The sequence below is a fragment of the Homo sapiens genome, chromosome 1, assembly GCF_000001405.40.
Source record: "Homo sapiens chromosome 1, GRCh38.p14 Primary Assembly".
Lineage (NCBI taxonomy): Eukaryota > Metazoa > Chordata > Mammalia > Primates > Hominidae > Homo > Homo sapiens.
Genome location: NC_000001.11, coordinates 81,262,243 through 81,289,723, shown reverse-complemented (window position 1 = coordinate 81,289,723; position 27,481 = coordinate 81,262,243). Strand labels below are relative to the sequence as shown.

Genomic DNA, 27,481 nt, shown 5'->3' with positions numbered 1-27,481 from the left:
TTTCATCAATTTTATCTGAATAATAACAGTATCTACCAACACTGTTAATGACATGACATTTAAAATACATAGTGGATAGTTTGACGTTGAGTAAGTATTCACCATATGTTAGCCATTGTTGTTTTTTCTTTTATGCCACTCATGTTTGGTCTATAATGGCTTACCCAGCCATGAAAATTATATAACTTTTAGGCTTAGTTCTCTATAGCTAACTAACTCAGTAATTTAGTTGCTCAATTCCAAATTCCCAAAGAAGGATGTTTTTGGGGGTTACACCACAAGTCCTAAGCCACTACCATGTCCATGGAGTGACTGCCTTTTCATCAGGTATCCATCCCTGGCAGAAAGAGTTACACCTGGGGGAACGTAAGAGGAAATTTGGAATCAAGTGGTCCACAGTTCACATAGCAGGAGTTGTGGAAAGGCAGTTTCCTTTAGGATGTATGTGTAGGTAGAGGAGGCAATGATAAAAATTCCTAGTAAACAGATTTCCTGTTTTACTGATATAATATAGATGTAGTCTCAGTCAGTATTGACATATGTAAGTGATTTAGATCTCCAAATCTAGTTTAAGGATTTTCTGAATTTTCAGAGTTTTCTACTATTGTCCAAATATATCGGATAATTTTCAACTCTCCCCTTCCTTCCTTCTGATGATATGAGGTAGAGTCTGTATCTAAATATGAGAAATAACTGGTTGTCAACATGACTGAATTGGTCAGTATTGTTTGTCATGGCAGGTCCTCACAATCAATCCAGAAGTGCCATGATCCTTCTACAATCGGGATTGATTATTATGAAAGCCAGCTGTGGCTCATCTATTTTATTGCAGATGGCCACAGCCTTTGACTCTACTGAGAAAAGTAATTTGTCACCAAAAACTCAAATGCCGCCTTCACAGTATTTTACTTTCAAAGACATAGGGAGGATAAATGACCATATGGAACTAAATGTGGATTTGTCAAACCTGTTACTGAGAGTCTTTTCTGTGTTGCAAGTGGGAAAATGGGGGCTCTTGGTTTCCATTTCTAAAGCTTCTTTGCATAAACAAATGCCTGTGGATTTAACTGGACATAATTTTTGCTCCTTTGCCTTGCACACACATGACTTATGTCTGGGTTTGCAGCTTAAGAAGTTCATGTAACTCCCTATGAAAAGACAAATGTATCACTCCAGTCGTAATAATAAAATATAATAACATATGAAGCTTCTAACAAATGGTTTTATTGTTGCACTTGTTACTTTCCAATTTTGATAAGCATTTACGTTTCCATGAAAAATTACTTTATTCATTTCAGTAATAAAGAAAGAAATAGATGAAATAGAAGTTTGATTTGGAAGTCTCTGTTTTGCTCAAGATAAGCTGGTAAAAGGACATTTGTTGAAGTTACTAAGGACCATATTTTTAAAAGCTCACTATTAATATGAACCCTATCAAAGGAACACACATATGTGCACCCATTTTTCCACATAAATCAGGAAAGATGAATAATTGAAGTGCTTTTGTGTTTTAAATTTTCATTAAATGTAACTCTAATGCTCATCCTAGGCCCCAGTCTTGTATCGAGTTTACTTTAGCAAAATGAATTAAAGATATAATGGACTCAATAAAGCTTCCCATCAGGAAACCTATATAAACTGAGTAAAAAAAAAAGTTTAAGAAAAGTAATGGATTTCTTAGACTCCTTTAAATGTATTCTTTTATAATTTTTATGGGTATATTATTTTGGTTGTCCAAAGAGCTGATCTTCACTACCTAAATGAAATCATATTGGTATTTGGTGTAACGGACTCCCAAAAGAAAGAAAAGACACATTTCTTGGGAAGAATTCAAGAACTCTTGCTTAACAAATTTCTGCTGCCAAAACTTGAAAAAGAAAACGGAAAAGAAAATAAATGGCAGTAGATTTTTGTGAAACAAACCAAGTACTGAATTTTCAGTATTTTATTTGATAATTTAAAAAGCATATGTAAGTCACAAGTCACAATGCTGGGTAAATTATGTATATGGTGTTATTGTATTCATTCTACATTTTAATTTAAAAGGAAACATATCAGTTCAGATTTTATGGGTAGGCTAGAATGTTAGCCTCTAGGGAAGCTTGAGGAATTTATGTGGTTAGACAACCTTGGATTCTGAATCTTTCTACAACCATGTCCAGTCATCAAATAACTAGAGATTTCCTTTATTTCTTGTCCTTCACCTATAAAAAGAAGGAAGTGATGATGTTTATCAGAAACTTCTGTAGCAGATGGAAGAGCAGCAAAGATCAATAGGTTAATATTTATAAACCACAATTGAGGTGATAAAAAGTCTGTGAATGCATAAAATAAACATTATACTAATGATAGACTATTGATCATAAAAAATTACTTTGCTCCAGGATAATACCTTTCATTTGTTCTGTAGATTGCACGCATGTTAGTGTCAGCTAGATACTAATAGTAATAATGATCATTTAATAACCCCAAGACTGATGTGGAGAGCAGAGGTCTCAGTATACTTTCTAAAGAAATTTTTTTTTATTATTATTAAAGTTTTGCACCTGAGACATGAAAAAATGAAAACTTTTATAATGCTGTCCTAAAGCTAAGCATTCGCTGAGACACCATAGTGTACCCTCCTGTTCTAGCTTTGCACTCAGAAATTTTATAAATAAAAATTTGAGAATAATTTACATTTTGTTGAGCATTTTTAACTTTTTCAAAGGATTTTCTATATTTATTTATCATTTGCTACTTATGACAACCAAATGAAATATGTGAATATACAGATGCTTCTTGACTTACAACAGGATTATGTCCCAGCAAACTCATTGTAAAGTCATAGTGGATTGATCCTAAATTGAGGACCTCTGTATAGGAAGTTCAGAGAAGAATTACTATTCCTCATTTTAATTGATGATATTAACATTCTTCTAGTCATCTAGATTCATAACCTCAGTTTAATCTACTTATACCTCCTTGCTCACTGCCTTGAAATCAATTTTCAGTCTCATATATTTCTAGATCAAAATATCTCTTGCACCTGTCTTTCTATTTGCCTACTACTTGGCTTAGGTCTCACTTTTAAGAAATTTGTATCATTGTCCTAATCCTCCAATTGGCCTTCCCACCACTGTTTCTGTCATTCTTAATCCATTCTTCATTTTATTTATTTATTTTTTGAGACAGGGTCTCACTCTGTTGCCCAGGCTGGAGTGCAGTGGTGCTGTCATGGCTCACTGCAGCCTCGACCTCCCAGGCTCAGGCAATCCTCCTGCCTCAGCCTCCCACGTAGCTGGGACTACATACGCATGCCACCATGCCTGGCTATTTTTTAATTTTAATTTTAATTTTAATTTTTTGTAGAAATGGGATTTCACTTTGTTGCCCAGGATGGTCTCGAACTTCTGTGTTCAAGTGATCCTCCTGCCTCAACCTGCCAAAGAGTTGGGATTACAGGCGTGAATCACCACAGGCAGCTACACATACATATTTTTTTAAAGTAAATTTTAAATTTCAGATTAGTTTCATTTTTACAGAAAAACTATGAAGACAGTACAGAGAATTTCCTTACGTCCAGTTTTTCCTATTATTAACATCTTACTGTGATACATGACTGTGAATTAAAGTTTGTAGTTTATTCAGTTTTCATTATTTTTTACTGAATGTCTTTTTCTATCCAGGATACCACATTCCATCCAGTCTTTGTGTCTCCTTAGAATACGCTTGGCTCTGACAGTTTCTCAGAAGTTCTTTGTTTTTGATAACCTTGATAGTTAATTTAATACCTGGTGGAGACAAATAAAAAGAAGGAAAAGAAGCCTGGATAAAAAGAGAGAGAGGAAAGGGGGCTGCTCTTTCAGATGTGATGACTAAGCAAGTCATTTTTTGAGGAGACAGCATTTGAACTAGTACTGGAATGTACTGAGAGATCAAGCCAGGAAACTATCTACGAAAAGAAATTTCTTGGCCCAGGAAACACCAATAAAGAGGGCCTGAAGTGGGGCTCTGGTGGGTTTAGTAAGTATAGTAAGAAAGCTACTATGGATGTAATTAAGTGGCTGTCAGAAAGAGTGATAGATACTGAGGTCAGAGTGGCAGTCATGGGGATCATGTGGAAAAGGTCTTTGGTTTTATTCTGAATGTAATGGAAAGTCCTTGGAGCATTTTGAGGAGATTCATATATATGTTTTGTTTGTTTATTTGTCTTCTTTGTTTTTTGAGATAGGGTCTCACTCTGTGCCCTGGCTGTAGTGCAGTGGTGGGTTCATAGCTAACCACAGCCTTGACCTCCTGGGCTCAAGCGATCCTCCTATCTCAGTCTCCTGAGTAGCTGTGACCACAGACATGTGCCACCATGCTCAGCTAATTTACTTATTTTTTATTTTTTGCAGAGACAAGCTTTCGCTATGTTGCACAGGCTAGTCTTGAACTCCTGGGCTCAAGTGATCCCCAGTCTCTGCCACCAAATTACTGGGATTACAGGGATGAGCTATCATGCCTGTATATATATATATATACACACACACACACACACACATACACACACACACACACATACACATATATATACATATATATACACTTATATGGACACATATATACACACACACACACATACATATATATACATATATATAACACACTATATATATGTGTGGATATATATGTATATAAATGTGTGTGTGTGTGTATATATATATTTACTTATTTTTTGAGACAGCGTCACTCTGTCACCCAGGCTGGAATGCAGTCATGTTAGCTTGGTTCACTGCAACCTCCACCTCCCAGGTTCAAGTTATTCTCCTGCCTCAGCCTCATGAGTAGCTGGGATTACAGGCGTGTGCCACCACACCCAGCTAATTTTTGTATTTTTAGGAGAGGTGAGGTTTCACCGTGTTGGCCAGGCTGGTCTCAAACTCCTGACCTCAAGTGATCCTCCCACGTTGGCCTCCCAAAGTGTTGGGATTACAGGCATGAGACACTGCACCCAGCCTGATACATATATTTTTAAAATAGCAGAAGTATATACATAATTTTGCATCATATTATTATCATAATATTTTTAATTATTAGCCACATACCATAACCTAGAGCTGATCTGGATTACTAACCCAATCATGTTCCAGGATCCTCAGTCTCTGGCTCCTATTAATGTTCTCTTTGCAGGACATGTTTCTGTCATTTCTCTTTGTCAGAGTTCTATTCAGTCTCAAGATCCATCTCAAACATCACCACTTTTAGGAAATCTTTTCCAATCCTTTTGTCTCGGATGCATTCTTTCTCATGTGTGATAGCTTGGGTGAAATGACTATGTAGAAATATAGCATTTGGAATTGGATGGGCTTGTGTTTGAATCTAGTCTTCTACAAATTATTAGGTTACTCTGAGTCTGAGTTCTTTATATGCGAAATGGAGACATTTTGTTACCTTATGAGGTTGCCTTCTGGGATACATTGGAAGCTAAATAAACACTATCCAGAGTAAATTCTTTAAAATTTTGTGATGACATTTACCCAATCCCTCCTTTGATAATAGGTGTTAATATTTTCATGTACTTAAAATTTCATCTAGCACCTATTATGTGTAACTGCTTTCTCAAATGCTAAGGGTAAGAACAGGAGGTTAAAAGAAGAATAAGGTTATGATGGAGTCCCTGCATTCCAAGGAGCTTTTACTTGGATGAGAGATGAGGCATGTACACATATATTACAAGAGAGTAAATGCAAGGAGGAGAAACCTGCAGAACATGGGTTGAGAGTGGAAAGGATCATCCCCAAGTTTCTGAAAATGGAACACTGGTATAGGTGTTTACATCTGTGCTACCATCAAAATCCATCTGGAATCACTGTCTCTCCCCTGCATAATTCCTTAATTGTAGTGAGTGCTCAATAAATGTTAATTGAAATTCCTAACTTTATAAATGAGGACGCAGGCACAGATTGTTAAGATGTGGTATGCCCAGACTCATAACACCACCTAGAAAAGCTGGGCTAGGAAGTAGCTTTGCCAAGGCCTGGCCTGTGAGTTACTCTCAGTTCTTCTGTCAGAAAGCCAAAGGGCTCCCTATAGTGGCAAAGTTACTCAGAAGATTCCCTTAGCAGGAACTTAATCAGACCTGTGGGCCGTAAGAATTTCTTCATAAATAAATGACATGAAAACATAGATAATATGACTATGAGAAAACTCAAACCAGGCCAGGTGCAGTGTCTCATGCTTGTGATTCCTGTGCCTTAGGGGGATCACTTAAGGCCAGGAGTTCAAGACCAGCCTGGAAAACCTAACAAGACCCTGTCTCTAAACAAAACAAAACAGAAAAAAAAAATTAAGAAATTAAAAAAAAAAATAAAAACAAAAACTAAAACTACGTCTGAATATGTAGTTTGAGAAAAGCTAGCCAGTTATTTTCCTAAATCTCGATACACAGTGTAAAAATGAGGCATGATAAGTAACATTTGATAATGACCCAGCTTTATAACAACTGAAAATTCCTCCTAAATTTTTGCCTGATTTTCATGAACATCAACCAGTTAGCAGTCAATTATTGAGTGCCTTTGCTAGCACATGCTAATACTAGGTGCTTCCTTCTGAAGCACGTTTGTTGAACAAAGTAATCATTTAGGTTATGATGGTATTTTTACCTGCCTCAAATAAACTGTCAACAGAAGGAAGCCCACCACCGTAGCATAAATACCTAACAATGTCCTGTATTGAGAATGGCCTGTCACTATCACAGCTAATCATGGAGGTGGGGATTTACCACATACAAAGCGCTTTTGTACTGACTTCTTAATTTGTTCTTTACAATAACCCTGAGGTAGCTTTTTCTGTTATCTTTTGTTTTAAAGATGGGGAAACTGAGGCCAAGTGGTTTTTTGAAGATAGCTAATTGGACAGGATTTGAACTTATATAACCTCATGCCAAAACACAAACTCTTTAACAAGAAGTTAAAAAATACTAAAATGAAATAACAAATATTGGTGCATGAACACATAGAATAAATATGTTTACCCATATATAAAACCGAGTATAAAATGAACCAATCCTGACAGAAAATTCATGATGAGGCTAGGAAAGAGAGTGCTTGTGATCCTTTCTGGCTTCAGTGTTATCTGTTCAAGGAACTTGACAGAAAAGCCCTGTGCAGTAATTACTTCTCTTGTTTTCTAATAGCACAGTGAGGTGGCTTAGTTATAAACGTCTTGAGATGACTCAAATGCAGTCCTCTGATCATTGGTGATGGATGGGGTCAGATAGCAAACAAGACAGAGTTTGGCTTCAACACTAATATTTACTATCCAAATTCATCATTCGTATAGAAGTACCTCTGTATCCTGTCTTAAATCTCAGAATCTCAAGTTCCTCATGTTGTCTTCCAGAAGGCCAACCCCTTTGGAGTCTCACTAGGCTCTGTCCTGCAATCCAAATGCCTGAAATACTTTGATCCTTTTATCACCTCAAGAAAGCAGCCCCTTGGTGCAATCCCAGAAAGATCTTTGGAGGAAAGCAAGCTCATGAAAAAATTCAGGCCACTAGTTGAGTGACTGTTAATTTTTATTCTTTACTTTCATATTGAAGGAGACTCTCCTCTTCATTCATTAGTTCATCCATTCTTTTGCTCAATAACTATTTATTTAGCAGCCAATTATGCGCCAGGCATTGTGCTAATTTCTGTAGGTAAAGTAGTGAACAGGGGAGACCTGGATCTTGACTTCGTGAACTTTTATTCTAGCAGTGGAAGCCTATTAAATAACTACTTTTGTGACAAATTAAATATAATTGTAATTAATGTGATGATAGACAAGTACAAGGTGTTATGAACATGTATAATCTTCCTGAGTCTGGGGGTTTAGAGAAGGTTTCTTGAAGAAATGATTTGTAAGCTGAGATTTGAAGATGAATAGAAATTTGTAAGATAAAACAGTTATTGATTACACAATGAGAAAGTACAGAAATAGACTTAGTAAGAAACTTGAAGATAAATTGCACACAAAGTCTGAACCCAAGGAATTTTAAATATAAAAGGAAAGATTAGATTTATCTATAAATGTAGTTGAAGATGGTATTATGAGAAAAGTATAACAAAGTTTTATGGGAATTCAGAGGGAAAATGAAGATATTTTCAGCTTGGAAGTACAAAGGTGGAATTTGATGTAGGCTTTAAGTGATAGTGTAGTGGATACTGTGTTGTACCACACAAATCTCCCTTTGAAGTACTCTCTTTGAGTATGATTGAGATATTCATTCTCTGAGATCCCATGAGCATAAGATGGTTAAGGGCTCCATAACGGCTTTTTTGACGTAAAGGAACATGCCACCTCCAAGTTTATGCCACCCCCCAGAGGTAGCCCTCATCCAGTGAGTAGTTAATGTGGTAATACAAAGATCTGGCCCTTGGTCTTTATTTAGGTTACCTCCGAAGGATCATCTCAGCTTCAGAGGTTCCAATGGGATGAGCTAAGGCTACACTCACAATGATATCACATTTTAATTTCCTCCAATCCTTCTCCCTCCCCTTGCTTTACTCAGAGTTGTTCCTAACAGCACTGCCCAATAAACCTCTGCACACAAATCTCAATCTCAGTATCTGTTTACTGGGAGAGCCCAACTTGAACTAGTTGGTACTGGGAGTGGTGTTAGGAGGAAGACCATAAAATAGAATTTTGGAGCTGGACAAATCAGCTGACTATAACCATCACTGTTAGTGGTTGGAGTGTGGCTAGCTCTTGACATGCCATAGCAAGGCAATGATAAAACTTCCACCAGTGGGGAATTGGACTTAGAATAGGATGCTGATGGAAGGAATGTACTGCTGGGAGCAGTGTCTCAGGTGTTTGAGATGTTTGAGGAAAATTGTAATTATAAGAGTCACGGTGTGCCAGGTGTAGTGGCTCATGCCTGTAATCCCAGCACTTGGGGAGGCCAAGGTGGGAGGATCACTTGAGGTCAGGAGTTTGAGACCAGCCTGGGCAACATGTTGAAACCCCCTCTCTACCAAAAAAATACAAAAATTAGCTGGACATGGTGGTGCCCACCTGTAATCCCAACTACTCAGGAGGCTGAGGTGGGAGAATCGCTTGACCTTAGGAGGTGATTAGAGCTGAGATTGCACCATCGTATTACAGCCTAGGTGACAGAGTGAGACCCTGTCTCAAAAAAAAAAAGTCATGTCATTGGATGGCTATTGCTGAGGGGGAACCTATATACACTGGAGAAAGTCAATGGAAGGCTGAGATTAATTACCAATTACAAGCTACGTGTGAAAGCCAGAGGACCTACTGGATAACATAGAAAGGATTTTTGTCTTCTATGGTTGGAAAGCAGATGTCAACCCAGTGCTTAATCATCTGCATAACAAATCTCCAGAGGAAGTTGCATTTTCCATCTTAGCAAGCCTGCCACGTCCAGGTGAGAAATGGGTTAAGCACATCTAAGTTTATGTGTTAAAATTCTCAAATCTTTAGATACTCTGAATTTGCTGCGATTGCAGAAGTGGCCTACCCTTCCTGGTTAAAGGCTACTGCTTAAAGATGATGCAGAGGTCTCTGTTTTGCCAGAGAACATACAGAACATCTGTATTTACTATTAAATACAGAACATCTGTATTTAATCCTACCTTCCCTCCTCATAACCAGATGACAAAATAGGTTAAATCACAACAAGAAATCAGGCAGATAAGTGCCAAACCTACTAAGAGGGGGAAATAACTGTGCCCTACCAACAGTTGGAATAGGAGGATCCCAAGATAATAGGCACTTTGGAAGCAAGGTAAGATGTGATGAAGGCGAGTTTGGAGTGACAACCAGGATGCAGGGAAATGTTGATCTGCTGAGAGCAATGGAGATAATTAATAGAATATCTTATTTCTAGGTAAATGGGGAACCATCAAGTGTATTGCTTGTCTATATAGCTTTTTAAAATACAGGAGGCCAAGGGTGACGGCCTTAAATAAATAATATTCGTATTTCTATAACTGAGACTATTTTCATATCTGAAATCATTATTGACTAAAGAATAAGTTCCAAGACTTAAGACCTTGCAACATTACAGCAAGAAAATACACCAACTGTTAACCCTCATTCTTCCTGCTAAGGTACTTCTGGGCCATTCTAAATTGGGAAAAGGGGATCGCTCAGACATTTTTGAGGACTGTTGGATACAGGGTTTCAGTTGATCTTGATATGAAGGGTAGAGCATTAGAGTGGACATGTATACAGTCCAAGAAGAGACATATTTGGTATCTGGTAAAATCCTTACATTGGTTTCTTCACCCAACGAGAAAGAGCTATCTCAGGGAAAGCCGAGCAGCAGCCTTCGAAAGTGCTCCCCTCAAAATTCAGTCAAGATAGTTAATCAAGAACAATACTTCATCCAGAAAAAAAAATGACAGATGTTAGTACCATTATTAAATACTGGAAGGATGCAGGAAAGATGGTCCCCATAATATCTCCTGTTTAATTCACCAGCCTATAGAAACACAGACGGTGCCTAGATGATTACAGCCGACTTCTGCTGACTCAACCAACGAGTAGCACCAGTTGAAGCTGTAATGCCGAACATGCTGTCTTCGCTTAAAAGATTAATGAGGCTTCAAGCACATGGTTACCACTGAGTTGAAGCATGCAGGCTTTTCCATCTTCATCAAGAAGGAGGACTCTAAAAAAGTGAGTTATTATAAGGTAGAAAAGAGTGTACATTTATTGTCTTGCTCCATATCTTGTGCTATCAAAAGATAATCAGAAGGTATCTGGACCTTATATACATGCCACATATATCTCATTGGACTACTATATTGATGATGTTGTTAATCAGACCAGATGAGCAGAAAGTAGCCTGTACACTGAAGGCCTTAGTATGTATGTGTACTTCAAAGGGTTGAAGATAAAAATCTTCAAAGATTCAAGGACCTGACTAATCAGTGACATTTTTAGGAGTCTAGTGCATGCCAGAACATCACTTCCAAAGTAAAGTAAACAAATCATTGCAACTTATGCTTCTACAACTAAGAAGTAAATATCATGTTTAGTAGGCTTCTTCAGGTTCTGGAGGCATCATATTCCACATTAAGAATTATTGTTATGGCTGGGCATGGTGGCTCATGCCTGTAATCCCAGCACGTTGGGAGGCCGAGGCAGGCGGATCACCTGAGACCAGCCTGACCAACATGGAGAAACCCCGTCTCTACTAACAATACAGAATTAGCCGGGTGAGGTGACCCATGCCTGTAATCCTAGCTACTTGGGAGGCTGAGGCAGTAGAATCGCTTGAACCTGGGAGGCAGAGGTTGCGGTGAGCCAAGATCGTGACATTGCACTCCACCCTGGGCAACAAGAGTGAGACTCCGTCTCAAAAAGAAAAAAGGAAAAGAATTATTGCTCCAACCCATTTCTTGACTGGCATAGAGCAGAAGTCTGCCACCTTTAAGAAATGTGTTCTTGTATAATCCAGGGTACAATTCAAGGCACCTTGCCACTTGGGCTATACAATATGGTATTACAGGTATCTATGGTGGGTAAAACCCTAAAAAGAGTATTTGCAACATACATATGGAGCCTATCATGCCCTTGGCAGCACAGAGTTATACACTATTGAAATAAACAGCTTCTTTATTATCTGCTTTCAGAACCTGCCTGATTTGAGCTACTTGTGACTGTTCATAGCTTTCTTCATCTCTCTCCTACCTCCAGTTGAAGAAAGATGGCTTGCTAAAAGTTATATCCCATTTCCAGGGCAGCCAGCCTCCAATGACTGGTCAATACAGAGGTACGCAGACCTGTCTGACTGCTTTACCTGGATTGGAGGCATCTCTGAAAAGTTTTCTGAGCTTCAGACTCTCAACAGAATCAGTAGAGTCCACTGTTGCAATTTTTTCTGAGCGCAACTTCAACGTCTTCCCAAACAATCCTGTTTTGTTTAGTCTTTTGGGCTTACTGTCTCTTATGGTGTGAAAGTTTGTGTCCCCTCCAGATTCATGTGTTGAAATCCTAACCCCCAAGGTGAGGGTATTAGGAGGTAGGGTCTTTTAGGCGTGATTAGATCATGAAGGCAGATCCACTCTGCCCTTCGTACCAAGTGAGGATACAGCTAGAAGGCTTCATCTACAAACCGGGAAACGGGCCCTCACCAGACACTGTGCCTGCTGGCACCTTGATCTTAACCTTTTCAGTTTCCAGGACTGTGAGAAATAAATTTCTGTTGTTTATAAAAGCTATCCAGATTTTAATATTTTGTTATAGCAGCCTGAGCAGACTAATACACTCTCTTAGTTCCACTCTAGAGAGCACTCCCTGGTTAAACCCTGTGTACAGGCTTCAGAGTCTAGGAGTCTTAGGAAACCTGTTGTATGACACCTGAGTAGGAGGAACATATATTTTCTGTTAAGAAAACAGCTTGTGTAAAGTCACAGAGGCAGAAAGTGATAGGTACGAACATCTAGTAACATTGTTGAAGTTTAGGAAGTATTGGGGAACATGCTCGGAAGAATGATTGAAGCCAGATAAGAAAACATCATTAATGTCATGATGATTGCCTCGAATACCTGATTTATAGGCAATGTCGAACCTTCATGGCTTTTAGAGTAGGCAACAAAAATGATCCGAACTTTCCTGTAGGAATATTGAACAATGTGTAAAATGCACTGAAATGGAAAGAGTTCACATTGAAGAACCACGGGAAGAATTACCTCAAATTTCCTAATGGAGGAATCATATTGTTTCTGGCAACAGTGGCAATGATGGAAAGGGTAAGAAGAGTTCTGAGTCAAGAAGAGTATAGAGGTCAAACACACACACACACACACACACACACACACACACACACACACACACACAAAACAAATTAGCAAAATTTCTGGAAGTTTGAGGGAGATATTTTGTGGCCATTACAGAATTCTTTAGAGGAACCAGAAAGTTCCTGTTGCCTGGGTTTCCCAGGAGGTATTATTCTAGAAATCTTCAAAAGGCAGGAGGAAGCTTTTTGGTAAGCAGTTTCTTATTATAATCTTTTCAGCTGACTGCAGAAATGTCTCCTAATCTCTTTCCCGATCACTGTGTACCCATTTTCTCCTCAGATTCATCCTGTCCCGTTCATTTATGGTTTTGTTCTCTTGGGGATTAACTAGGCCAAAGAGGTGCTTCTCAATGCCACAAACTAGGGCACTCATTATATAGGTTCCGTTTAAGAGCAAAGTTTCTTAATGACCCTAAGCTTTGACTTAATTATTCTTATTATAGTATTACTTAAACACGTTTAAACATAATAGGTATAAACTGTGTGCTTATTGGCTTTATATAATTATGTATAAGAAAAACCATTTTACAAGTTCAAGTCAACAAAAACTACAAAACTAATAAAATTTAAATTAGGATCATTAATTTGATGGACAGATGAAGTTGTTTTGTTGAAATCAAATTACTGTTCACCACATAAATGACAATCAGGCTGTTTTCAGTTTTTACACCAGAGCTGTTTTCTCACTTGCTGTGACAATTCTCTCAGAATTTTCTACAGTCAAACTATAGAGAAATCTTCATCAGGATTTCAAATGATATTGGTTACCCTTTACTTAGCAGGTACACTGCATTTATCTAAGAAATACACTTCTCATTAGCCTTAGACAATAAAGGGGTACAGCTTGATCCAGTGATAACCTGAACCTAGATGTGTATTGTGAGCCAGAAGTGAGTTATATATAGTATTTGGTCCATGCGTTGTTATCCAGATAACCTGCGGTATGATTATTGACAAACTTTTAGGCTACCAACATACATCTAATTTTTTAAGAGCTCAGTACTGAAGCAGATGTTTGAAAAATTGTCCCTTGGCCCAGCGATAGGCTGTGAACTCTTGCAGTGGTGCTAAATTCTTTCTTTGGTTCTTTAGGAGCAATGACATGTCATTCCACAGGATATTTTCCTCGTATACAATTAAAGTCTGGTTACTAGTAAAATACTATGTAATTTATTCAGAGTTACAATGATTTAATGTTTATAAGGCAAATTTTGTTAATCCTAGGTTTGTAGGATTTTCTTTCTTCCTTTCTTTACACTGGCTCCCACAGGGTGCCTGGTGATGCTGAGAAGCTTGCAGACGTGAGTGGCACTTCCACCCTCCTCAGGAAGGCTGCTAGAATGTTGTGAAACTTTTCTTATGCTGTTGCTGATTTTCAATTGTTACTGTCCTTGGCTTTTATTTATAATTTTCTTCTCATTTAGTCTCCCCATAATCCATTTTGTCTTGTGTTAACTCTATAGTGGGTACCAGTGCTTAATTTTACCACTAATTTTGTCTTTAAATCCTTTTTTTTTTTTTTTTTTTTAAGACAGTGTCTCCCTCTGTCACTCAGGCTGGATGCAGTGGCACAATCATAGATCACTGCACAATCAACTTACTGGGCTCAAGTGATCCTTTCACCTCAGCCTCCCAGGTAGCTGGGATTACCGGTGTGTGCCAGCACATTCAGCTAATTCAAAACAAAAATTGTTTTTCTTTTTTTGTGGAGATGGAGGTCTCACTATGTTGCCTAGGCTGGTCTCAAACAGTTGGGCTCAAGCGACCCTCTGCTTCAGCCTCACTAGTGTTGGGATTACAGGCGTATACCACCGTGCCTGGTCCACCCTCTAATCTTATAATTAGTGTATCTCAGATGTGTATTGTGAATCATATGAGCATCATCTATATCATTTATCTCTAACCTCCTCCCCCAAATTTATTTGTACAATAGGTAATGTTTCATTGCTATTATGAAATAATGTTTCCAATGGAAATTGAGAATAGTCCAGGTGATTTTTAGGGTTATTTGCCATGTTTAAATGGATATTGGTTAAAATAGTTTGAGAACTACCATTCTAATTAGCAGGAGGTCCAAAATCTGGCTATTTGTCTTTGTCTCTGGCTCAGTCTTAAGAAAGTCACACCTAAAAGTGTGTACTTTAACTTAATTATCCTTATATAAGCTTAGTTTTCATAGTTTGTTGCGTAAAATCCCAGGATGACAGCTCACAATTTTAATAAGAAAGGACTTAGAATGGAACCTTAATGTAATTCTAGCCATAATAGGTCAGATTTGGTATAAAACTAGTGTATGTTGGATGAAATCCAGATGGGTTCATTACCAAATGACCCAGAAGGATCTAATTATAGCACTTTCACATAGAACATGGTCCCATAGAATGGATTTCAAGGATAGCATGGTGAGAATGTAGTGCAAATGAAAAACGAGATGGATAGTTCTTTTGATGGATGAGAAATGTAGGCAGAAAAAGGGCTAGAAGGAATATCCTGGGGAACACAGATGAGGATGATATAGAGGACCTGAATCTGGAGTTATTTTAAGCATTGGCCTTGGGTTATGAAAGGCAAAAGAAACAAAAATCCAAGTCTATCAAATTTAGTTGAATGTCAGAGAAGTCCCTGGCTAAAATCATTTGAAACTGTTATTCTAAAATCAGTTCAGTATGTTCGATATTATTATTATTTTTACAACTAAGTTATTTATTTTAATACTATTGAGCACTATAATAAACCACACCTCTCAGAATTTTTTCTAGTGTTTTCAAGAATGGTCCCATGCATTTTCTGCTCTCTGGGTTATTTAAGGCCTTCAGTTGTCTACTCTACTAATTCCTCTAGGTGTGTAAGTACGAAAATATGATTTTAAGACAATAAGGGAAAAGCTTAAGTGTTGTTTTTTGTTTTTGTTTTTTTTTGTTGTTGTTATTGTTTTAGAGAAAGCTACTGAGGGTTATGGGCAGCGTAATAGAACTTTGTCATATTTTATTTCATTCATATTTCCAATGTGTTTCTTTATTATTTGCAAACAATTAAAGGCCTTACCCATGAGATATATAATAGACTTTGGTAAGTACAAATCGATGGCAATACTTTTGAAAAAAAGCTTAATGGTTAGTTGTGCCAGGATTTGCAGCAACGCTGGCTTTTAAAAGATTTCTTCAGAGTGAAACTGACAATGTGGACAGTGACATATATAATGGCAACACTCTTCCTTGAAAAAAACAGGAATTGCCAGGGTGGTCTGTGTATACAATCTATTTCTGAATCTGATTTCTTAAATTCTCTTAAAGACACAACTAAGGCATTTCTTCTTCTCTAGTTATTTATTTTTCTGTGGAAATCTACACATGTATAAAAATTACAGGGTGAATAACTAAGGTTGTATTAAAATAGTTTTTTGACCCTGCAGTATCTTATTCAAAACCTTACCTTTTCATTTTAGCCTCCACCTAACGTGTGCATCTGAAATGATGTTTTCTTAAACTCTTAATGGCAGTTGTTTAGGAAAAAGCTTTTGATTAATTCAGTGAATGATAACTCACACTCTGCATTACCTTGCTGCACTTTTTTAAAGCAGCATGGTAACAGCTATGTCTAGAGTATTGAAATTCCAGGGCATCAGGACAGGTGACTGTGTGGATTTTAGATTTGGGAACTAGAAGTGGTCAGTCTCAGCACAAGTTTGTCTTCTCCAAGTTTGTATACTCCCCATATGCCCCTTCATCCATGACTAGCTGTTCCGATACAATTTTTGCCTCTGGGATCTTTTCTGTTTATGCCCCGTCAACCATCTCCTCTCTTGCTTGCCAACTATGTCCTCCCATTGGTCTATTTTTCCACTAGGAGACATTTTCTGGTCTCTCTCAGTGACTGTGTATATTGAAAAAAAGGAGACCATTTTGAACAAAAATGTATTTATGCATTTATCTCCTGAAAATCAGAAAACGTTTCATCTCTCCTAGACTTAACGTTCTTCACATGTAATAACAAGGTCATATACAACTGCATTGTCTTTGTGCACATAAAAAACTTCTGAGAATTTATCCAGGCCTTTAAAAGTACAGTAATTCATTGGTTATGTCTACATAATGCACAAACATCCTGCTAGAGAATTTAGTCAATCATTCAGTTGTTTGGTTGTTATGACACAAAACATTTAGATATGTTTGATTGGAAGATAACAAACAACTGTTTCTTAATATCTGTATAAATGGGCATTGTTTGGATAATAATATATATATCTTTTTTTTCCATTTAGCAATTGTGGTTTCAGCAGACGTAGCTTTTTGAGTGCAATTAACACCCAGACAATAATTTATGTACTGTAAGCTCATTACGGATACTTTTTTCTATGATCAGATTATAGAAAATAAAAATGTTAGTTTCAGTTTAGCACACAAATTCATTTTTATAGTTTCCCAGAATTAACAAACATTTAAATATGTGTGTATATGTGCACACATACTGTATATATAAAGTTATATGGATAATTCACATGATTCAGTTTTTACAAATTAAGAAAAATTTATTTTATTATGCAGTAATAGACCAAGATAGTAACTAAAAAACTCATGTTTTATTCTCTCAAAAATGTGCAAAGTAATGGATTTAGACAGGAAAGGGGAGAGGAAAAAGAAATATTTACCTAACTTATACTTGAAAAGTTACCATTTATTACATGATTAGTATCAACACACTTTTGTTTTTGTTTTTTTGAGACAGGGTCACCCAGGCTGGAGTGCAGTGGTGCCATCTTGGCTCACTGTAACCTCTGCCTCCTGGGTTCAAGTGATCCTTCCACCTCAGCCTCGCGAGTAGCTGGGTCCACAGGCATGGGCCACCATGGCTGGATAATTTTTGTGTTTTTAGTAGAGATGAGGTTTCACCATGTTGCCTAGACTGGTCTCGGACTCCTGAGCTCAAACGATCCACCTGCCTCAGCCTCCCAAAGTGCTTCGATTACAGACGTGAGCCACCAAGCTCAGCCAACACATTATTTTTGACAAATGAATACTTATTTATTTGTTTTATCAATTTTTAAATTCCTTTCTTCACTTCTTTCTTCCTTCTTTCCACCTAGGGAGGCTTCATTCTGAAGGCTCCCCAGTACAACATGTATATGCCTTAAATAAATTTGAATGCTTTGGCCCACACATACTTCCAAGTCCTTAACTTGACTGGGCATTTTGCACTAAATTAACCTGGAAATTAATTACACTAAATTAACCTGAAAATATATCCGTATTTTGTTGTAGATTTTATTTTATATTTCAATGTATTTTTGATACTAAGTTTTCTAAAATTTTCCATTATAAATCCATTATATTATATAACTCCATTATGTTTGAATTAAAAAATAATGATGGAATCAAACAATTCATTTGGTTAATTGAGCAGCTTATCCTGTCATAGTTATGGAATTTCTTGGTCACCACAGGTTGAATCACTTATTGACTCTTTTTCTCCTTAATTTAACAAGTGTTCATTCAGTATCTGTTTTATACTTGAAAAGACATATGCTTGTAATAGTTGGTTGACTGAACTAGGTTCAGTGTAGTCAAAACAGACCTATTAATTTAAAAAATACAGAAATAACATGTATTCTTTCGGTTTTTGTGATCTTGTACTTTGTCACCCATCATTACCCCTATGCTTTCTAAAATTCACTTTTAATGCAAAAAGTCTTACTCGTAAAAAATAACTTAAAAATAGTTATTGGTGAGTAGCTATTATCTGAATAACATACAGCTTAAAATTGTGATATAAGTAAAATAATTAGGATTTAAAATAAGTTGATATACTAAAAGCCAGAAAATACTGTACAAATAAAAGAAAATTATTTTAATTCAGTATAACATAGCAAAATAGTTTGGAAGTTGATATTCTTTTCAAAAATTCTCTTTAGTTTCTATTCATTGCCCATGTTATGTGCATATCAGAATATTGATAACTACTTCATTAAATTTAGTCTATACTAAATTGTTATAATGACTTCCATGTTTATTTACTTTATATTGTTCCTTCCTTTACAGAGATAGCAACATTTATAAAGTACCAAAAATATAATTGCTTCAACTGTGTGTAATTTGTGCAGTATTATTGGCTCCAATTGTGACAAGTCTTTGAAGATAGAGGAAATTGTATATAGAATCTAGAAGAGCAATAATTAATTCACAATACATTTATTCAAGAGGTAGATTTATCTTTGTCTCTGACACTAGGTGTTAAAATATTTGTAGATGTTATTTACACACACATACATATACACACCCATACTTATACATACATGAGTGCTTACATTTTTGGTCATTACAATTGGTTAAACAACAACAAAATGGAAAAATACCTCCCCAAATTATATGAATATAATTTCCTCAATATTTCCAAAATAACACCAATAATAAGAACAACAGATTACTGTGCTTAATCAACACTGTAAGTTTCCTCTTTTTTTAGCAAAAATAATAAGATGCTCATTTCTTAATGAAAGGAGAAAGAGACAAATAGTATGAAATGCTTAAACAACAAATGGGTTAAATGAGCACATATTCGTTAATGAAAATAAAATGAAGATTTTACCAAAATAAAAATTCACTCTTGCTGAGAAGGAACATTACATGACCTTCCATCTTTAGGACTTCAGTCGGAAGGAGCTTGAGCTTGGCTTCCCACTGTCAGTGCTGAAGAGATTAGTGATGTAATTGTCATTGAATCTGATGTCCTTCTGTAAAAAGAGCTGAATTTGAAATGCAAATCAGAATTTATTGAATCTTTTATGACACAGTGAAAGAATTAAAGGACTCTGGTTTATGATGAGAAGAAATGAATGATAACTAGATAAGAGCTATGTTTTTAGCAAAGTAACAAAATGAAATAAGCAATGAAATCAGACTCTTTGAGGTATCATTTTAATATGCAGATTTTTTTTACTAATATGAGGCAATTAAAAAATTTAAATACCATTTTCTAGACATGTAATAATTCAACTACTTCTCTTTTTCCAAGCCACTTACTTAATGAGCTCAAATGAAATCCATATACAAATATTAAATATTTGAAATTCCCATTGTTAACAATAAGATTTGCATGTATATAAACGCCATGCCTAATAATTGTAACTCTTAATTGTGCCAATAATAGTAGACATATTTGTTTTGGCTTCAGGGAATTGAAGGAGCCTGACATTTTCAAGAATCTGTATGTATATTCTGCAATGCGACATTAAGATATAAAACCTGTTTTGGAAAGGCTGCAGTATAGAGGAAAACACTATATAATCCTGGAGCTTGTTGGACTCAATCCAAAGAATTTTAGTGTGTAAAAATGTATTTTGTAATCCAAAGGCCAAATTATATAAAGTCACCATTAAAGGAACATCAATTGTTGTGTTTAAGAAAAAATAACAAAAAGACAAACAAAAATTCAAAAAAACAAAGTAGGTTTCTGTTGAAACAATGTGGTTCTCTAACTTGACCAGGAAAAATAAAGGATGTCATAAGCTGTGGCTCATTAACTCTTCGGATTCTGTGCGTTAATTGTGACGTGGATACAGCATGCATCAGATGCCAAATCTAGGCACAAGAAATGTAGCAAGCTGTCCCCTTCTTCCAGAAACTTGTACTTTTTTGTGTGTGTGGAAGTAAGAAATCTTTGGAGAATATACACGTCTTAAACTGTGATTTGGGATAAAAGGTCAATATGAGTTGAGAGAAAAGAGAAATCACCTTGGGCTGGTGTTCAACTGAACTATGAAGAAAGTATTGAATTTACAAAGGCGAGACAGAAAGAGAAGGTTATTTCAGGCGAGTGGCATAACATGTTAAAAGTGAAAAATTTGAATATCAATATTAGGTTGAATGACAATAATAATAATAGCAAACATTTATTGATTACTTGAGAAAGATTCTGTTCTAAGCACTTTATATCTACTACCTCATTTCATCATCAATCTTTGTCTTACAGATGAGGAAATGGAGTTACAAAGAAGTATGAGACTTGCCTATGGAGGCACTGAGATCCAGGCCAAGGTCACCTTGCAGCCAGTTTGCTTTCTGGGGTGCAATGACCGAATGTAAAACTTGTTGATTGTGGGAAAGAATCAACTTATTGCTGATCCAGCACAGACATCTTAGTTGGTTTTATTAACTAATGTCAAGCATGACAATATTCTATTTTCAAATCAGATTCTTGGACTTCTCTGGCTTCAGCCACTGGAAACTCTGATTCTAATATTTGTGAAAATAAAATTCTGGTCATATGGCCAAAAGTGAACAGTACATAGCCAAAGTGAAACATTATTTTGTAGTCACTTTTAGTTTGTCTATTATACTGTGTTTCTTTATTGCCCTAGAGAAAATTAAATTGGTCAATTCAGTGGAGAAAAATCATCAACACGAAGGTTTGAAATGACCAGTTGTTTAACTAGAAAAATGGAAAAGTCTCAATTTGTAGACACAGTCTAAATGTGGAAAAATCATTAAACACTAAAACTCGAGGCAAACTTTACAAGTTCTGTTTCTAAATTAAAATCACAATTAATATTATAAGTCATTACACTATAGAGCTAGATATAAATGTAATTAATTGAAGTTAGAAATATCATACAATTTAATAGAATTATTTTACTAATAGACTTGCAATTGAGACTCCTTACTATAAAATAAGTCATTTTGATGAACTTTTTAGGGGGGAATCCTAATAGACACAGTTAATACGTATTATTTATTCCCAGCAATGTTTTTTATTATGCACATGGGCCCAAAGGCTGAAGCAATGGGCAAGAATTTTTAAAAATAAATTGAAAGAATAAATAAATGAAATAAAATTAAAGCCACATGTCGCTTTTTTTTTTTTTTTGGTAGGGGGTTGCAATTTGACTGTTTGCTACTCCAAGCTTGTTGGGTCTGGTTTCAGGTAATCTTGCAATTAAAGGCCTATTCCTCAAATAGTCTAGGGAAGTCCCTAGTGGCATGCAGAGAAAGAAATAAATGAAGACTCAACTTCGGCAGATCCCCAAGAATCTTTTTTTTTTTCTGTTAAAAAGTTTTTATTTTTATTTTGCGTCTTTTTTATTATTATTATTATACTTTAAGTCCCTAGAATCTTGAACACAGTCCACACAGCCCTTGATAGCTGTGAGGCATCCTGGCAGTTTAAAGGGATACTTTCCCCTGAATAGGTAATTTTGAAGAGGTGTTCAGTACAATATTAGACAGTTTGTATCATCAGACATAGATTTATGTAAGGTTCTTGACAATCACAAAACATGAAAAAAAATGCAGACCAATAGAATTCTCATTTGTTAAGAAATTGTCCAGAAAACGCATCAGGAGACAATTCTATCCACCTTTCTCTTGATCATTCAATCTAACGGAAGAAGGAAAAAAGAAGATGTCTGGAATGCAATGTGGAATTTGTTTAAAAAAATGCTATTAAGGATTTACTTCTAATCATTCCTTGACTGTATGATTATGTATTATAATGATGTCACAACACCAATTTTTTGATGGAATGTCAGAAACATTTCACAAGTCTATGACTCCCTGAAAACTCAAGTGCTTTTATAACTCCTTGAAGTTACTATAATAGGCATTATTCTTTCTTTTAAATGACTGTCAGAGGGACCTACTGTTATCTTGATGCTTATATTTGAGAAAATTTTGCTCGAGCTCTTATACACCTTCATGGCAACACTCAATTTCCAGGCTCTTTTGTGGCTCCCTCTTTCTGCTTCTCATTATGTTGAACCAGCTGAATGTTTTGTCTGTTTTGATCAGCAAGGTTAGCAGTGAACTGAATTCTGAAGATTTTTCACACTGTTTTTTAGTTCTGCTTAAGAAATATTTACTGAAGCTCTGGACCCATAAAAACGAAGGGGATTTTGAGATTTTATTGATGTAATCGAAGAGGAAGTGTTGTCCATTGTTACTATACCCAAAACATTTCAGAAGTACAAGCAGAGAAATATGTCTCTATCATCAGAATTTAATATGAAATCATGTTCTTCTTTTATCATACAGAAAATTTGTCATAGGTTTTATCTGCAATAAAAGCTATGTCAGTGGTGCCACATAATACATTTGTAAAGGTTAGAGACATTTTAACCCTCATCTGTGACCAGAATTATAACGGTAAGCAACCCACTGAAGCACCAATGGCAGATTAAGAGTGTAAAATTTCTCTGCAGACATTAATGCAAAACAGCGTAGGAATCCACACATTATAATGCAGTGTGGTCATTTTGAATAATGCCCTTGAAATTACAAATTTATTACATAAGTAAAAATATATGATTACAAATTCCATCAATCTTATGTCCTTGTCACGGATTTGTGTTTTTAGAGTCCAGGGAGATTGTTCTGTTGTACTGGTTAAACTCTCAAAAAGGCATGTGAAAACATAACGGCCACATTATTTTAATGACTTCCTTTTTGAAATGTGTATTGTTATAAATCATGCATAAGAAACAGCGAATTCTCAGAAATATAGGTTTTACTTATATGGATTTTAATTTCCAAAGTTTATATAATTTTCTATTTTTGAATTCTGTTTCCAAACAGAATTTACTTTCTCCTTTAATTGCACATTATAGTTTTATATTATTTTATATTAAGAGCTAAATTTCAGATGCTAAAACTTTTCCATCAGGCAGTTCAGCAATTGCTGAGCAGCCACAGAGCGTACATTTAAGTCACTATACTCAAAATTAATTCACAAGAGAACTACAATTCAGAACTGGTAGAAAAATGAAATATGTATTTAGATTTTTTTTCCCACTGGGTGTGCACCAGAATCGAATACAAGTTTTGTTTAGGAAAATCCAAATAAACACTATTTTGTTTGAATAGCTCAGACAGTGGAGTTGCCTCACACTGGCTTCTGGTCATTTTATTCTAAAGTGCGGAATGTATTTTGAATACACGACAGTTTAATTTAGTTGGTTTAATCCACAGTTTCAACTTTTGCCTTTTCTTTGAAAACAAGTTTCATAAAAGTATCTGCAGAAGTCTTGTTTTGATTACCCCTTATCCTTCAGCCTTAGATCAGTATCAGTTTTTTTCCCCTTGCTCATAATCCATTATAGAAAATACTGTAGATTTCTACAGCATGACCAAAACTCCACATTATGTTTGCAATTTTCCGTAATATTTGTATAGTATGAAGTAAAAATGTTTGCTTTAAGAGACATCTGCTATAAATAAAATGACAGTGTAAATTTTCAAGAGAGCTGCACAATCACCATAAAGGCTCAAAACATGAACCTTCTAGAGTGGGTTCCAGCACTTAGTGATTTTCCAATGGGTCAACCGTGTTCACCTCGATGCTCTTGAACCCCCACCCAACTCCTGGTTCTCCTCACCTCCCTCTCAGATCCCGACATTGCAATGAAATTAGCCTGTAATGCTTTCAACGCCCTTGCAGATCAGCTTTCATTGTCAGGGAAACATGGGAATGGCATTAAAATATGCTTCCCATTCTCACAAAATATTTCCTCAAAATGCTTTAGAAACTCAAACCAGTTCCTTCAGATTCTGATATTATCTTTATTGAAAAGCATTGGCCAGCTTGAAAGGGTTGACCATCCAGGTCAGAGATATATATATATTGTTTAAGAAGTTTCCAGAACTACTCATTAAAGCTCTGCCTCAAGCGAGATTTGTTAGGGAGAGCAGAGACAGACTTGCATTTCTTTATCCAAATTTTCCTGTCAGTCTTCTTTAAAAACAAGTAACTAGAGTTCCCATAATACGCTCTTTTTGCATGACAAAATGTTTCCAGTTTCCTGAAATGAAGAGCTTCATCGTGGTTGTTGTCAGAGATTGAATTGAGACATCAATGATTAAGAATGACAATGACAGGCCAAAGATGTATTGAAGTTCAGAGGAAAGCAGGGACAGTTTATTTAAAAAGGTCACTGAAGAATATAAGGAAATTCATTTAAAAAGTCTTCATTGATGTCATTTATATTTTTTTAATATAGAAAGTGAAATCGGAGCACTAAATAGTACTTTAAAATTCAAAATATAAAATTCTGTAGAATAACAAATATATTATATTCAAGCTTTGACCTTAATAAGGGCTTAAGGGGTTGATGGAGAAATATGTAAATTAAGGCTCATTGTTTTTTTGATAACAAGAAAGGAAGTGCAACTCGTGTGAATATTTCTTCATTTAGTTACTGCATATCTAGTGTGAAAGTACTTTTCAGTAGTTATAGAAATATGTTTTAAATTGCTTTTTCATTATAATACCCCAAAGGCAAAATTATTTTATTGGAAAATTGATTTGCTATCAAATAAAATAAAAATAAGAGTTTAAAAGATCTAAACTAAACAAATGATAGAAAATTATTTGGCTCACAAACATTACCAGATGTCTTACTATGTATGTAGCGTATAACACACACACACACACACACACACACACACACACAAAATATATGTATATATATATATATATATATATTAAACCTTCTCATATTTATTGTTCTCAAAAATGACTTTTTGTAGTAATGGAGAAAATGTTAGCTTGCCACTTTTTCAGACAGCAAGTCCCCAAAGAACATAGAAATTACATAAATTGTTATGACTATCAAAACCAATTGCCAAATTTTCTTTTACAAAATACTTCCCCCTCTATAAATAGTTTAATTTCCCCTATCTCTTTGAGGTTTTTTTTTTTTTATCTTTTCCAATGTCCTACGCTGCAATATGTGTGAAATTTATCAAAAGCTTTCTGATATTACCATAAATTACTGTGTAAGCAGAGCTATTGCTTATCTGTCAAGCGGACTTTTTTTCCTTTCTTTAGCAATTTTCTCCATTTGTGTATGTGTGAAAGGTTTTCCCTGACTTTTTTTTTTTTTTTTTTTTGTGAGGACTGTACCTTAAAGGTTTTGACTTTTAGTGAGGGTCTACAATAGAAACCTGTTTATAGAATAACCTCATGACACAACAGAGTTCAAAGAAAAACACCTCTTTTTTTAAAACAAGTATTTAAAGAAACTAATTTCTGTATAGTAGGCCATATCCCTATGTTGAATAAGCAAATTTATTGTGTTAATGTATTTTTCTACCATTTTGAACTTCATTTTGGTTGTATATTTTATGTGCAATGAATGTTTATTATTTTTCCAGTTATTTATTTTTAAATCTCTTACAATTATGTTTCTTTAGTAGTACATGGTAAATGTTAATCTTTTTATAAGAATTATTTTATGAGGCTCTACCGTACCTTATTAGTCATAATTTTTGACAACCATGCAATTATCTTTTTTATTGTGAGCATTCTTAAAAAAATTCAAGTTTAATTGGATGAATATTCTGCTTTGGAAAGAAGTTATGATGATATTCTATTATGGACTGTGTAATCTGGGAAGAGGCTGAATATTGGGTTTGCTTTATTCCTGCCACAGGCAGGCAGGGATGAACTGAAATTTCTATTTTGGGTAGTGCAGGGAAAAGGTCACTTTGAGGATCTAGACTTGGAAAGATTGTCATGATAATGGAATATCTAGAAACTACTTTAAAGAAGAAAATTATAAAGCCCTCTGTGTTGTGCCTGGGGGGCTCATCAGTTGACTGGAATTTTCTGTTTCACACTCAATGGCTTGTCCTGCCATATCTCTAATTTTACATAAATGGCACTTCAGGTATATTTTGAAATCCTTTACAGAAATTAGACAATCAATTCTTCCCTCTACAGCAGACATATATTAGCCTTACAAATAGACTAAAAAGTGAAATAAAAAAGATATGCTTTTGTACCTATCCATATTGAAATCTGTGCAGCATTTTTAAAAGTTCTTGTTTGTCACCAAAAGACCATGTATGTCAAGAGCGATTAAGTTATTCTCAAAGGGAACAACAAAAATAGTAAACAATGACAACAAACCAAACCCTGGGACTGTCAAACTTCATTCTTGAATGATAATTTTCTTTTTAGCACAACTACTCATATAGATGCATTCACTCTCTCACCATATATCATAAAAAGAAGCTCTCTTCTTATTTTTATTTTATTTTATTATTTTATTTTTTTGGAGACAGAGTCTTGCTCAGTCCAGGCTGGCATGCAGTGGCCTGATCTCGGCTCACTGCAACCTCTGCCCCCTAGGTTCAAGCGATTCTCCTGCCTAAGCCTCCCAAGTAGCTGGGATTACAGGCATGTGCCACCATACCTGGCTAATTTTTGTATATTTAGTAGAGATGAGGTTTCACCATGTTGGCCAGGCAGGTCTCGAACTCCTGACCTCAGGTGATCTGCCTGCCTTGGCTTCCCAAAGTGCTGGGATTACAGGCACGAGCCACCGTGTCCCGTCAGAAGCTCTTGTTTTATCAACCTATATCCCTTGTACATTTAATGTCTTTAGAGTGTGTAACATGGCATAATAATTGGGAGTGCTGCTTCTGGAGATGATCCATTCTGGGTTCCACACCTGCAACTCTCAAGTAGTAGCTGTGTGAGCTTAGGAAAGTCACCCAACATGGATGGGTCAGTTTCCTCATCTCCAAAATGAAGATAATGATAGAAATTACATCAACGTTCTTTTATGGGATTAAAAGGCTAATATTTTAGCTAGTTCCAAATTAGTAGCTACATATATTTACTTATTTAAATTAATAGATTACTTTTTTGAGCAGTTGTAAATTACAGAAAATTTGCTTCAAAAGTACAGTTTTTATGTTACACCCACCTGCCCCA

At 35.7% G+C, this 27,481-nt stretch overlaps 1 long non-coding RNA gene across 1 annotated transcript in view; it reads left to right on the top strand.

Annotated features, from left to right (window-relative positions):
- LOC107985018 (uncharacterized) overlaps positions 1-21,517 on the top strand; it is a 30,564-nt gene extending 9,047 nt beyond the window's left edge. The window contains exons 2-4 of the long non-coding RNA XR_001738115.2: positions 10,453-10,650; positions 11,610-11,749; positions 20,741-21,517. This is a non-coding gene — a long non-coding RNA (uncharacterized LOC107985018). The remainder of the gene's footprint in view (positions 1-10,452; positions 10,651-11,609; positions 11,750-20,740) is intronic.
- The last annotated feature ends 5,964 nt before the right edge of the window (positions 21,518-27,481 follow it).